The 13,138-nt window shown below is 40.7% G+C and overlaps 1 protein-coding gene across 11 annotated transcripts in view, besides 2 other annotated features; it reads left to right on the forward strand.

The window, feature by feature from the left end:
- The window catches only part of PBX1 (PBX homeobox 1), a 326,864-nt gene that overhangs the window by 190,697 nt on the left and 123,029 nt on the right, over positions 1 to 13,138 (forward strand). The window lies entirely within an intron of this gene.
- Positions 9,408 to 9,909: an enhancer, noted in NCBI's record as "H3K27ac hESC enhancer chr1:164728525-164729026 (GRCh37/hg19 assembly coordinates)". NCBI's record gives its function as "activates a minimal SCP1, AML or CMV promoter by ChIP-STARR-seq in naive H9 embryonic stem cells {active_cell/tissue: H9 hESC(naive)}" and the evidence as "EXISTENCE:reporter gene assay evidence [ECO:0000049][PMID:30033119]".
- Positions 9,910 to 10,409: an enhancer, noted in NCBI's record as "H3K27ac hESC enhancer chr1:164729027-164729526 (GRCh37/hg19 assembly coordinates)". NCBI's record gives its function as "activates a minimal SCP1, AML or CMV promoter by ChIP-STARR-seq in naive H9 embryonic stem cells {active_cell/tissue: H9 hESC(naive)}" and the evidence as "EXISTENCE:reporter gene assay evidence [ECO:0000049][PMID:30033119]".

Consider the following 13,138-nt stretch of genomic DNA (forward strand, 5'->3'; position numbering starts at 1 on the left):
TTGAGCCCAGGAGTTCCAGACCAGCCTGGGCAACATTAGTAAGACTGTGTCTCTACAAAAATAAAGTAAATTAGCTGGGCAAGGTGGCACATGCCTATAGTCCCAGCTACTTGGGAGGCTGAGGCAAAAGGATCACTTGAGCCCATGAGTTCAAGGCTGTAGTGAGCTATGATTATACTGCACATTAGCCCGGGTGACAGAGTGAGATCCTAACTCCAAAAATCGGAAGAAAAAAAAAAAGAGCTTTCAAACTGGGGGCTAGTTGGTGTGTGTGTGTGTGTGTGTGTGTGTGTGTGTGTGTGTACATGCACATGTGCATTCCCTGAATGCTCATTGCTAACTGTGTGTTGGCCTTTCTTACTAAAATGCATGTGTATATGTCTTTGTGTATGTATGAAATATCTGAGAATATAGTATTTAGACCCCATTAGTGAGGGTAAAAATATACAGATAAACTATATCATTTATGATTCTGATACGGCTACTGTCAAAATAACACAGTATTTTGACAGCTGCTTTATCTTTACTCTCACTGACTACAATAAGAAACTAGTTTCTTAGCAACTAAAATAAATTCTCAATCAGAGCTTAAAAAAATTTTTTTTAAGCCCACAATAGAAAAAATAGACCCATAGTTGGTGTCTAGGCAAGCTATTCCTATTGAGTGGGAATGAAATTTATCTGAAACATTCTGATACCCTTTGGCTGGTCCAGCTGCCCTTGGTTAGCACCAGTGGGGGCAGAGACAGTCAGAAGTAGCTTTCAGGAGGCTTGGGAAAAATGTTCATTGTTCTTTTTCTTTGTTTCAGTGGGTTCTTTTTAAAAACCATTTCTTATGTTATATACTAGGCTAGAAAGTACTATAAGAACTAGTACATAAGATCTGGAACAGAAAGCCTGCATTCAGATTTGTCTTCACTGTGACTTGTAGGCAGTGGCTTATATATCAGTTAATTAGCCAAAATGATAGCGGTAGAGGCTGGGGAAGCAAAAGAGAAATTTAGCTACTTCAGGCCTGTTGTGTTATGTCTTTAAAACATTTTGAAACCCCCTAAGGTAACAATTTTTAAATAGGGTCTAGGGATCCCCAACATTTCCAGGGAGACTATGAGGTCAAAAGTATATTGATAATGATTTTAAGATGGTATTTGCAGGCTGGGTGCGGTGACTCATGCCTGTAATCCCAGCACTTTGGGAGGCTGAGGCGGGCGGATCACTTGAGGTCAGGAGTTCAAGACCAGCCTGGCCAAGATGGTGAAACCCCATCTCTACTAAAAATACAAAATTAGCCGGGCATGGTGGTGCATGCCTGTAATCCCAGCTACTCGGGAGTCTGAGGTGGGAGAATCGCTTGAGCCCAGGAGGTGGAGGTGGCAGTGAGCTGAGATCACGCCACTGCACTCCAGCCTGGGTGACAGAGTGAGACTCTGTCTCAAAAAAAAAAAAAAAAAAGATGGTATTTGCTTTATTTACTCTCAGTCTTTTATGAATGTGTACAATGGAGTTTTCCACAGGCTTCATGTAATATTGTCACAGACTGAATGCAGAAACAAGAGAATCTGGCCATCTTCTTTTAAGTCAGACCTTAAAAAGATTTGTAAAAATGTAAAACTCACTCTTCTCACTAATATATTTGTTTCAAAAACATTTTTTATAGACATGGGTTATTTATGTTCAAATGTAATGGGTTTATTGCCCCCCTTTTTTTTTTTTTTTTTTGAGACAAGAGTCTTGCTCTGTCGCCCAGCCTAGAGTGCAATAGGGCAATCTTGGCTCAATGCATCCTCTGCCTCTGGGTTCAGGTGATTCTCCTGCCTCCGCCTCCCGAGTAGCTGGGGTTACAGGCGCCTGCCACCACGCCTGGCTAATTTTTGTATTTTTAGTAGAGGCAGGGTTTCACCATGTTGGCCAGGCTGATCTCAGACTCCTCACCTCAGGTGATTTGCCCACCTCGGCCTCCCAAAGTGCTGGGATTATAGGCATGAGCCACCACGCCCGGCCAGTTTATTGCTTTTAAATGAATTAATATTAAAAAATTCTTTAGTCTCAAATTTATGAATATTGATAAATATGACCTATATAAACAGAAGCTATTTGGAGTCCTCAATAGTTGTTAAGAATGTAAAGGGGTCTCAAGCCCAAAAGATTTGAGAAACACTGCTTCTAAAAACTGGCTGTCTGTACCTGTGTGTGATTCATAGGTTTGGCAAAGTCACCAACACTATTTCCTTTCAAATGCCAAGGGAGATTTTAACGTGGCTACCAAGAAACAAACAAGCGGAGATGTCAAACAGTTAATGTGTCCATTTAGACCCCTTTAAGGTTTTGTGTGTGTGTGTGTGTGTGTGTGTGTGTGTGTGTGTGTGCCCTCAGTGCTTAGATATGCAGGTAGATAGACACTTAGCTCTTAAGAAAGGAATTCATCTCTACTCATAATTTCCTTCTGCTGGTGCCATGGCAAGTGCATTTCTGAGTAAAGTAGTCTGTGTGCATAGGTGCCACCCTACCAAATACTGTGAGCCAGATTGCCATTCTGGACCAAGATCTGAGAAGGAAGACATAGGGGAGAATGCAGAATGTGGAAGGAGGAGAGGAGGGGATTGTTAATTAAGCTCTATTAAATATTAATTGAAATATAAATTTAAAACCTCACCAACTCCTGACAGTTATATAATCTAATTAAGTGGTAGGTCCTGTTGCCCCACAGTGTCTTTTGGTGTATTAGGGGAATAAAGTGATCTTCTTCTCATAAACACTATGAGGGCTTTATTAATCCAAGGTATTTGCCAATAAAGTAGATGGGAAAAGTGGCAATAATAATAATTTTATGGAACATGGAAGAATTGAAGGGGCAATTTTGATGTGGATAGGAGTGCAGTGAATCAGCTGCAGTGATCCACATGGAATCTGCACGCTTTGGCCTGTCATTGGGGTAAGGAAGATGAAGTCCTTGTGTACCATTCCACATTTACATGTATATTTTTTGCTCATGGAGAATGTATATTGAATCCCTGAGACCAGTTTTAATTTTATAAGCTGCCTTTGGTGGGGAAAATGGTAAGTCTGTGCATGTGTGTGTTTTATAATGAAAGTTTCAAAAGAATAAAACCTGGAAGGGTTGTGGAGATGAATTTGATTTCTTACTAGCAAACATGAGTAAGCCTGTATTTTGCAAATTTTCCAGCAACGGGGCTGTTGGAGAATAGTGAAAACGATCTGAATCTTTTATCTGTGCTGCAAGAGAAAAGAACCTCTACATTCATTTCTTTTTTGGCTCTCAAAAGTTCTTAATGGAAAGTTAAAAAGTGCACAAGATTGTCTTTATTTTTTGTTTCTTTGAATTATTTAATAATTTTAAAAAAGTGCACAGCATGTAGTTCTGAGATGTTTTAGGTGGTGTAACTAAATTTAAAAAATAATTATCATGAGTTAAGTCAGCAACTCTTAGTCTTTATTTTTGACCAGGCTCTAGACTAATGCATCATTAATTTCTCTGCATAAAAGCAGGGCTATTTAATTCTCCTTGTTATCTTATTTGTCTTTTGTTTGGGTTTTGGTAGTTGTTGTTTCTCATTATTTTGTGTCAGGATTTCGTTATATCCCCTCATTTTCTATTGCTGTTGGTACATTAGTCCCCAAGTTTGTGAGATGCTATTTCAGTTTTAGAAAAGGAGTCCCTTGGAATTAAAAATGGAGTTTGCAAGACCACACTTGACTTCGTGCAGGTCGGCCAGACCCATTTGTGAGTAACACAGCCCTTGCGTGGTTTTGACCTTTGATTTGTGGAAATGAGAGTGGCTTCTCCTTCCCCAGGGCCACTGTGGCTAGCTGGGCTTGGGGGACGAGCATAATATAATTGTGTCATGGATTGCTCTGTTACTCCTCGTATGTTAGCAATTTTATTGTGGTCTCTTTTATTTCCTTTTCAATTTGGGCCCCGGCAGTTTCCCAAAGGAATGTGGATAAAGGCTCTCAGTGTTGGAAACGGGAATGATGCAGTTGAGCAGTTGCCTCACCTCTGAAGGTGGCAGGAGTAGCCGTGAAAGGCCTCTGAGAGAAGAGATTTCTGTTTAGTGTGGTGGAGAAGGGGTCAGTACTCTTTGTTGTCATTTAGTATGTATCGAGGAGCAGCGTGTTCCCTTGGCCACTGGAAGGGTGGGCTTGGGAAGATGTTTATGTATCTCGGCAAAGGTGGACTGAGCAGGTGGGGGACTTAGAGCCTGTCCTAATCTCTGGGTGATAGTGTGTGCCCACTGCCCTGCTGCCTATGTGCCCGGCTGGTGTGTGGACGGGAACTCAGACCCATGTGCTCATGGGAAAAAGCAGAGGCTGGGCTTCTTTTGAGAACTTGGCAAAGGCTTCCCTGTTCACTTTAGAGTGTTTCTTTTCTTGAAGCCAGTGCTGGATCTTGGGTCTGTGCTGCTGACGTTTTAGAACATGAGAAAGAGCCGCAGTAGGAGCCAAGTATCTGCCAGACTGTGTCGGGAGAACCTTTATCATTTCTGTCAGATACATCACAACTCGCTTGTCTTACCATACATCTTCCTAAATGTGACAGAATATTCAGCTGTTATTAATTGAATACTCTCTAATTTAACTGCTTAGCGGGAGAAAGAGTGACTGGTTTGTTTCAACACGTAAAACTGGCATCAACCTGTCTGTGGGTTTCAATGCTGTTGCATTGCAGGGACTGAAAAAGTGACTGTGTAAGGAGAAGGGGTTACCCTACTTTTTTCAACAGGGTAACTAAATTCAGTTTATTGTTCTAAAACAGAGGGGTGTGTGTGTACGTGCGTGCACGTGCGTGCGTGTGTGTGTGTGTGAGAGAGAGAGATGAGGATAATACAGATCAGTTTATGGGCATGATATGCTTCGTGATTTTTTTGTGTTAAGTATGTTGTAGGTGGTACTCCAGCTCCTCTGAAGTTTAACTTACCTAGAAGTTGACACTGTGTTGTGTTCTTTTAATCAAAAAGCTTAAAATAATGAACTTGTTTTGTCTTTATCTTTGTAATCAATAAAATGTAAAAAAAGAGCCCTACAAATTTCTGTATAATATTGAATGTGGTGCTAAGAATTAAAAGCCATATTGATGAAATAAATTAAAGATTAAAATATAAGGAGCTAAGAATGAATTTTGAGAGTCTGCACACAACTCCTCTCTCCTTGGACCTTTGATGGAAGAACAAAAGTGAGTCAACTGTCAGCTTCTCCAGCTACCCTAGAAAAGCAACAGAAGATTCCAATTCATTGATCTAGGAAGAATCTAGGCTGTGAACTAGACATCCTGCTACACTTGTGGGTATTTTCACCCTTCTTGCCCAGGCTGGAGTGCAGTGGCACAATCTTGACCTCCGCCTCCCGGTTTCAAGCGATTCTCCTGCCTCTGCCTCCCAAGGAGTGGGATTAGAGCCATGCACCACCATGGCCAGCTAATTTTGTATTTTTAGTAGAGATGAGGTTTCTCCATGTTGTTCAGGCTGGTCTTGAACTCCTGACCTCAGGTGATCCGCCCACCCTGGCCTCCCAAAGTGCTGAGATTACAGGCATGAGCCACCGCGCCCAGCCTTTTACTTGTGGTTATTTTTTAAAATGTACTTATGTATACATAATTCTGTTGTTGTTTTAAAAGAAGATATAAAAATGTGCTCAGTGCCAGAATGCCTCTAGGTTCATATGCAGCATTTTTTTTTTAAAGAAATGAATTCAAAGCACGATAATAAGTAGAAGCCTGACTTGGCTTGAACATAACACTCTGTCGGCAGTGAGGTAAAGTGAAACAAAAGACAGTGTCCCCAACTCTGCCATGAAGGTCAGCAGAGTGTGATGTGGCACTTTGCAGAGATGGATGAGACTTCCAAGGCTGAGGACAAGGAAGAGCATACCTGCAGTCCTTTCAATCGCCCATCATGGGACTATTAGCTTGAGCGTTCTGGAAAATATTATTACCCCCAGGGCGCCATGTAACTCCCTGGCTCCTGATAAGCTGCCAACATGGCTTTCTCTGGGCTGCAAAGTTGGAGCTCCCCTGGCAGGGTGCCAGGGTTTTAAGAAGGCTCTGGGGGCCCAAGGTAGCCTCCTGGTGCAAGTTAACATTCATTGTAAAACCCGATTCAGGAAAAAAAAAAAAAAAAAGAAAGAAAAAAACCCTTCCCTTGCTTTCCCCTCTGCACAGAGCTAGCTGGCATACAATTAATATCTGTGCTGGCACGTTGCCCCTTATTTTAGGGGCTGGCTTTTGCTTTGGGATGGCATGGAGAAGGGGATTATTTGCACTGTAGCTTTTGATGTAAGCCATCATTGTCATATTATATGAATAGCACCGCGTAAGGATGGCTGGGGACAAAGACCAGTCCTCCATCCCTTCCTCACACTGCCCTATGTAACCCAAGTCCTTGTCACAAAAGGGCTGTCTGATTTTTTTTCCCCTTTAAAATCTTATGGAAAATAGTGGCCTTAGTTGGAAACCTTAATTTTTAAAAAGCATCCTTTAATTTGGGCATTGCGAAACGTTAAAAATTGGAAAAGTTGTTTTTTTCAGAGATAATTTACACGTTTGTACACAGAAATGCTGCACACATATGCTTATAATCATATTTATAATTACTTTTTCTTTGTTGCAATTTAAAAAACGTACACTTAGTTATGAGGTCTTAAGGAATGCTAACATTGCATATGTAGTCATAGAAGAAAAAGGCATCACATAAATTTTGGTAATTCAGAATGGAAGCCTATATCATGAAAATACCAAAACCATAAAATCTACTTACTTGAGGAAAACTGATTTGAGAATATCTGGCATGTTTCTTAGCTCACTAAGTTTAGTGTTTATAAAACAAATAGAAGATAATGTTTTTAGTAGACTCTGGGTGTCCGTATACATATGTGTAACTATACATATTTAGGCTTTATCATAATGTTTGAATGGAGAATGCTTAATGTAGTAATATAGCAACATAGCAAAAATTCTAAACTTCAAATATACAATTCAAACAGTTGTCACAGATAAAGGCTAGATAAGGAGAAAAAAATGTATTTATGAAGCAACTCATTAAATAACTCAGCATTCTTAGCTCTGTGATGCATTGGGAGTTGTAGGGAAGGGAGTTGGGAGCTGAGGAAGTAGAAGTGGTATTTAGTCATATTTCTGAAACTATTCTGGATTTTTGTTTTGTCAGGAGAAAGATGCAACAAATATTTATAGGGCCTCCCATTTTTTTTTTGCAAGAGGAGAGCAGAGGACATAGCAATGAACAAGAGAGAAGGTATCATTGCCCCCCATGGAAACTGGGTTTTTATAAGGGAGACATATAAAAAATATTTTGGGGTTCAAGGATGTAACCTGATGGGGAATAGTGATATTTTTGAAAAGCTGATCATGACTTGTAAAGTTCAATTTCAGAGTACTGATGAGAAGAACCATGAAATATTGTAATTTTTCTAATTAACATAACACCTGGAAATTTCTAAGCAAATGCCATTGGAAACTAATAATATTTGGTCCTAATATTGAAGTCGTATCTATTCAACTCACTGACGATTCACATTTTCAGTTACTGTCTGAAGTTTGACCAGATAGGGAAGATCAAGGGGTTCCTTAAAAGAATGTTAAGTAACAACCCCAAAGTAATGTTTTAGCTTTCAAAATACTGAAAGAGGTTTAAGGTGTTATCTTGTCCACCTTGTTAATCATATAAATTCTATTATCCCTTTAACATGTCTAGCCAATGAAGTCAGTGTTTTCCATCTGCAGTCAATTGGGTATTGACAAGGAATAAGAAAGGATTTCTAAAATACATTTTTTTCAAGCTAATTTCAGCTATTATTATTATTATTTTTTAATCTCTAAATCATGCTGTTACTATTTCGTCACCCAGCATGTTTCCATTAAGGCAATCACATTAGGTTGGGTTGACCCAGTAAAACTTTTTATCAACCACCAGGCCAATTCAGACTGCAGCCAAAGCTATGTTCTCATCTTTGGTGGGCTGGTCAAAGTGAACCTTTGGATCTGATAAGACCAAGTACATACTCCCATGCTATAGTGTTTTCACTAAAACACTTTTAGTTTTATAATTTAAAATTGTACCTCATGGCATTGGAGGTGATTAGACTTTTCCTACAGATGGAACTGTGTGTTGGATCTGATTTTTAGTTGGGCAGCAAACCTACCCAGAACCATCTACTTGCCCAGTTTTATCCTTACCCACAGCCGCCTCATATTTCTACAGCACTTTATGTTTCACAGTAATTTTCCCTCCTTGATTCTACAACTTCTACCCCTAGAAACCTGTGTTATTTTCATCCCTTACAGAATCACAGATCTGTGAGCGGAACGTTGTGTTCACAAAATACTGTTGATTATTTTACCACTTCAATGGTTGTTTCAGACAACCACCCTTTTCTTTTCATTATTGCTTAAATATATCAGTGCATGGTGTCATGGGTTACAGCTAATAAAAATCCCACTCGAGTGACTGCAGCCTGGCTTGGTGGGAAGTGACACTGCGAGCTGCAGGCCGACTCTGAAGAGGCAGGTTTTAGATGTGCCATGATGCCAGGGATTGATCTTGGCTCTGCAGAGTGGAGGACATAGAGATGATGCGAGCATCCCTGCCTAATGGTCCCCAGCAGAGGATGGGTGGAAGGTGACTTCCGGGTTCATGCTCAGGTGGAAGCTGCCTGCCCTCACTGCCTTCTTACCCTGTCTCCGTCACAACCTTTCCTATCCTTCCCAGTGACCAGCCAAGGGCAAGACAAGACTGCAAATTACCATCTAAAAGTATACTTGGCCCCTTCAAAGTATGAGAGTTAGATCACTTTTTTTTTTTTTCCTCATGCTCCTTTCATGCTCCTTCCAGCCAAGAAGCTGGAAACTAAAATCCCTTTTCTTTTCCTCTCAACTTAGTCAATTCCATAGCATGAGCTGAGTGCCTGTTGTGCTCACCTAGCATCGTGTCTGGCACATAGTAGGTACTCACTAAATACTTGCTGAATTACTAAATGCATGGAAGTTCCAGGATCCAGTGGGAGTGATAAAGGTAAGGGAAAATTAAGGCAAGCAAAGGCAGGAAAAACAAATCTCTGCTTAAAGGAATCAAGAGACTGGCTACCCTTGGAGATAGTAACTGTAAAGGGTTTGGCTGGGGCTTCTGTGTGCTGCTCATAATACTCTCTTGATCCCACTTCTGGAGACTGGGCTGCATGCACTATACAAAAATTCACTGTACAGCTGTAATGTATGTATTTCTACTTAATATAGTTTATCCTACTATCTAAAAAAATATGCCTTTAAAGGATAGTGTCGGTTCTCAAGTACCTTAACAATCTTTTTGCAGGTGAGGGTGGAAGGTGGGTGAAGAAACCAATATACAGGCAACGATTAGGATCATTATTTGGCTCAACCCCCATTCCAGTAACATGCTGTGACTGCAGGGGAAAGAATGGCTCATTCCAAGCTCTGCCCTTATGTATGCCATTAACATAGATTCCCAGGGGGTGGGTCACCTTCTGAGTGGAGGCCCCTAAATCTAATGCCCAAGGAAGCCAAGACTCCTTGCACCCCGGGTGACACAGAATCCTGGGTGGCTGGTTCAGGAGCTTCATGTGCTAGCTCCCATTTATGATTTCTTTTTTCTTTTTTTAAAGAAAGAAACATAAGGAAAACATTTGCTTTGACATTGAATCCACCCCTACATGTAACAGTAATTGCAGGGCCTAGAGGGGGAAAGAAAGTATCATTCCAATTTGGGGCCAACCAGCCTTGACAATATTGTGTTAAACCTTCTGAAGTGGTGAAGCCAAGCTGCAGCGAGGCAACCCTGGCACAGGTGGACAATCGGGGACATGGAGAGCTGGAACTGGGAGACACTTCTGGAGTCAGGACACGTAAGGAGTACAAAATTACTCTTTGGGGCACTCTCAGGGAAGACCTGTGCCTCCAGGCCTGGCCCTTGGTTATGGCCTGTGCTCCTGACTCCTTAGGAGGTTTTGGCCATGAGCTAATCAGATGCCCAGTTCACACAGTAAGATATGACTGCTTGACCTCCACATGGAGCCCGACTAGATCCCCCTAAAAACCACAGTTGTAAAGCTCTGTAGAGGTAGTGGCCTCTTCAAAGTCCCCAAGCACGCAGCCACACGTGCTTTCTCCTCCAGTCTCCGTGTGTCTGTAAAAGTTCAAATACTGAGTCAAGTTTATTGTTTCTATCTCGTTTATTTTAAGTATAGTTTTACACTTTATTATGTGCAATGACATCTTAAATGGAGCCTGTCACTCCGTCTTGACTACTGCTCGGGGCTGGAGCCACTTACCATGTCACACATTCAGCAGCCCTGATTAACCGAATCAGAATGAGCAGCTCCATCTCCACCCTCTCCAAAATAGTGCCCCTTATTTATATGAAGCAAAATATGAGAACAACAGGATCCTGTATCTAAAGTGGGAAGGTTTCCAAGTTGAGGAAGTTTGGGATGGCATTTCCCTCCCTTCCTCCCTCCCACCCTTCTTTGCTCCCTCCTTTCCTCCTTCCATCCCTCCTCCCTCCCTCCCTCCCTTCCCTTCCTTCCTCCTTCTCTCCTTCTTTCCCTCCTTCCTTCCTTCGGATTTTTTAAAACATATTTTGTTATATATTCACTCTCTTTAAGAATAACACTTTGTTTGGTTAACTCCTGCCCCCCAAAACAACAACAATAAAAAACAAAACAAAATTTTACAACTTTCTTTTCTTCTTCTCTCGTCTGTGGTTGCAAGTCAGTTTTTGTAGCCCTGTCATTATGTGAGGTGGCCTAGAGTAATTTGAATATTTCATTCTCCCGGCTGCTAATGCAGCATGCGTTACAGATGGTACTTGCTTCATCCTTCTGGACCTGGTTCAATTATAAATGAAAGTAGGGAGCTGAGATTTGTCTTTTTGTCTCTGCTTAGTTGGAATAACACAATAAAGCTTGATGGGTAAGAATTTCTCAAACTGCCTCTTTTTCACCTCGGACATTTCCCAATTAGATTGCTCCTTAGAGTACTTGGTTTGCACTCACGTTTGGAGCCAAATGTATAATCATTGTTGTTATTTTTGGATACTTTCTTTCCTCTCACTTGGAATAAGGCTGTATTCTAAAAGTATAAGCAACCTCTGTCTGCCTGCCCCCACCCATCTTTTTCTTTTTGGTGTCTATTTCTCATCAATTCTTAGCAGTGACTGCATGATTTATTCAAGAATCTTGAGTAAAACCACTTCCCTCCTCCATACCCTTAAAAGTACTGTCCCCTCACATCACACTACTTAGGGACACATTGGTGGTCAGGGAAAAGGATTTTTCCTCACAGTAAGATGTGTCTGCTCAGCTCACTAAATCAATATATAAAAATAGAACACACATGTAGAGCAAATTATGCAAATTTATGAGTATAATCTTACATGCACATATTTATTAGACACTAGTAGTATTTTAAATGTGTTTGTGTGGAGGAGGGTGTGTGTACACACATGCCAAAAGGCTTTGGGTTTGGTATGTTTTTGGACATTCTAAAAAATAAACATTAAACATCGTCTTTCATTGGGACATTATTCTTTTTTTTTTTTGAGACGGAGTTTCGCTCTGTCGCCCAGGCTGGAGTGCAGTGGCGCGATCTCGACTCACTGCAAGCTCCGCCTCCCAGGTTCACGCCATTCTCCTGCCTCAGCCTCCCGTGTAGCTGGGACTACAGGTGCGCGCCACCATGCCCGGCTAATTTTTGTATTTTTAGTAGAGACGGGGTTTCACCGTGTTAGCCAGGATGGTCTCGATCTCCTGACCTCATGATCCGCCCGTCTCGGCCTCCCAAAGTGCTGGGATTACAGGCGTGAGCCACCGCGCCCGGCCCATTGGGACATTATTCTTATGGTCATTTTAGCAAATTGTAAAGCTTGCTATTTAGTTCAGGCTATACCTTTATTTGGATCAGTGTGAGGGATTTTTTTCCTTCAACCTCAAATTTATGATCACTAAGTGTTGGGCAAATACAGTACTATAGATACTCTTAGAAGGGTGACTAATTCAAATATCTACCAGTAATGTCAAAGAAGGGGGGATGAACCAACTATATTCTCTAAGATTAATTGATATTGTATTAGATTACATGGGCGCTCCAAGAAGATCAATATATATATTTTTTAATTTCACTTTGTTCCTCACGTACTGTTGGAAACCAGCTTTGCAGTGTGACACCTGTGGGCTCAACATTGTTTCACCCTTATTTTGATGACCTGCCCTTGTAAAGTTAAATAGAATATAAATTGATAGTATCTCCTAGCCTCCCATGGTTCTATAAGTTTAAGTCATTAAGATGAAGAATAAAGTGTCCTACAGAGAAATTGCCAGCTTAAAAGACAAAGTGTTGGAATGTTACAGTAAGAGCTCTGATGCCCTAGGTCAATACAGGTTGGCAGAAGCAGCATAGTTTAGGGAACTCTGTTCTTTTCCGATGCAATTTGCAACAGTCCTCAGCCCAGCATCTCACTTGTTTTTCCTACTATGTTAAATGTGATCCTACCTACCCTTAGAGATAACAGTGAAAATTAACCTAAAACATAGAGCCAAGTCTTTCAGCAATTTGACATACTTTAAAAAATATAAAGTGTGCTTCATTTTCATATCAGCTTATGATAACCCACCTTCTGGAACCAACCTGGTAATTAGTTATCTGGGTCTGCAGTGTGCAGTAGGTCCATTCCTCCATGTGTCTCTGTCTATCTTGATTTCTGGCTCAGCTTCTGATATCTAAATGATATTCGTTGAGCAATTTGGAACCTAAATGGAGTTAGAAATGCTATTATTCCATATTTTTCAAGTAGTTAAAAGAACATCTTTGTAGCAAATTTTCTAGGAACACAACAATTAGAAATGTTTAATAACCTGTGGTCACTTTCTTACAATTAATTATCTTGAACTCATTTTCTGCTAATATCAAATCTTGCCAGAATAATGAAATTGGAGTTCTTATTTTCAGCTAGTTTTCATTTGTCAATCATTGACCTACTTTTCTTTGGAAATTTGTAATAAACTGAAAAATAATAGCAGCTGTACTAATATTGGTATAATAATTTCCAGTGTACCAAGTACTTTTCATGTATATTATCTCGATTTTGATATCATGATA

The sequence above is a fragment of the Homo sapiens genome, chromosome 1, assembly GCF_000001405.40.
Source record: "Homo sapiens chromosome 1, GRCh38.p14 Primary Assembly".
Lineage (NCBI taxonomy): Eukaryota > Metazoa > Chordata > Mammalia > Primates > Hominidae > Homo > Homo sapiens.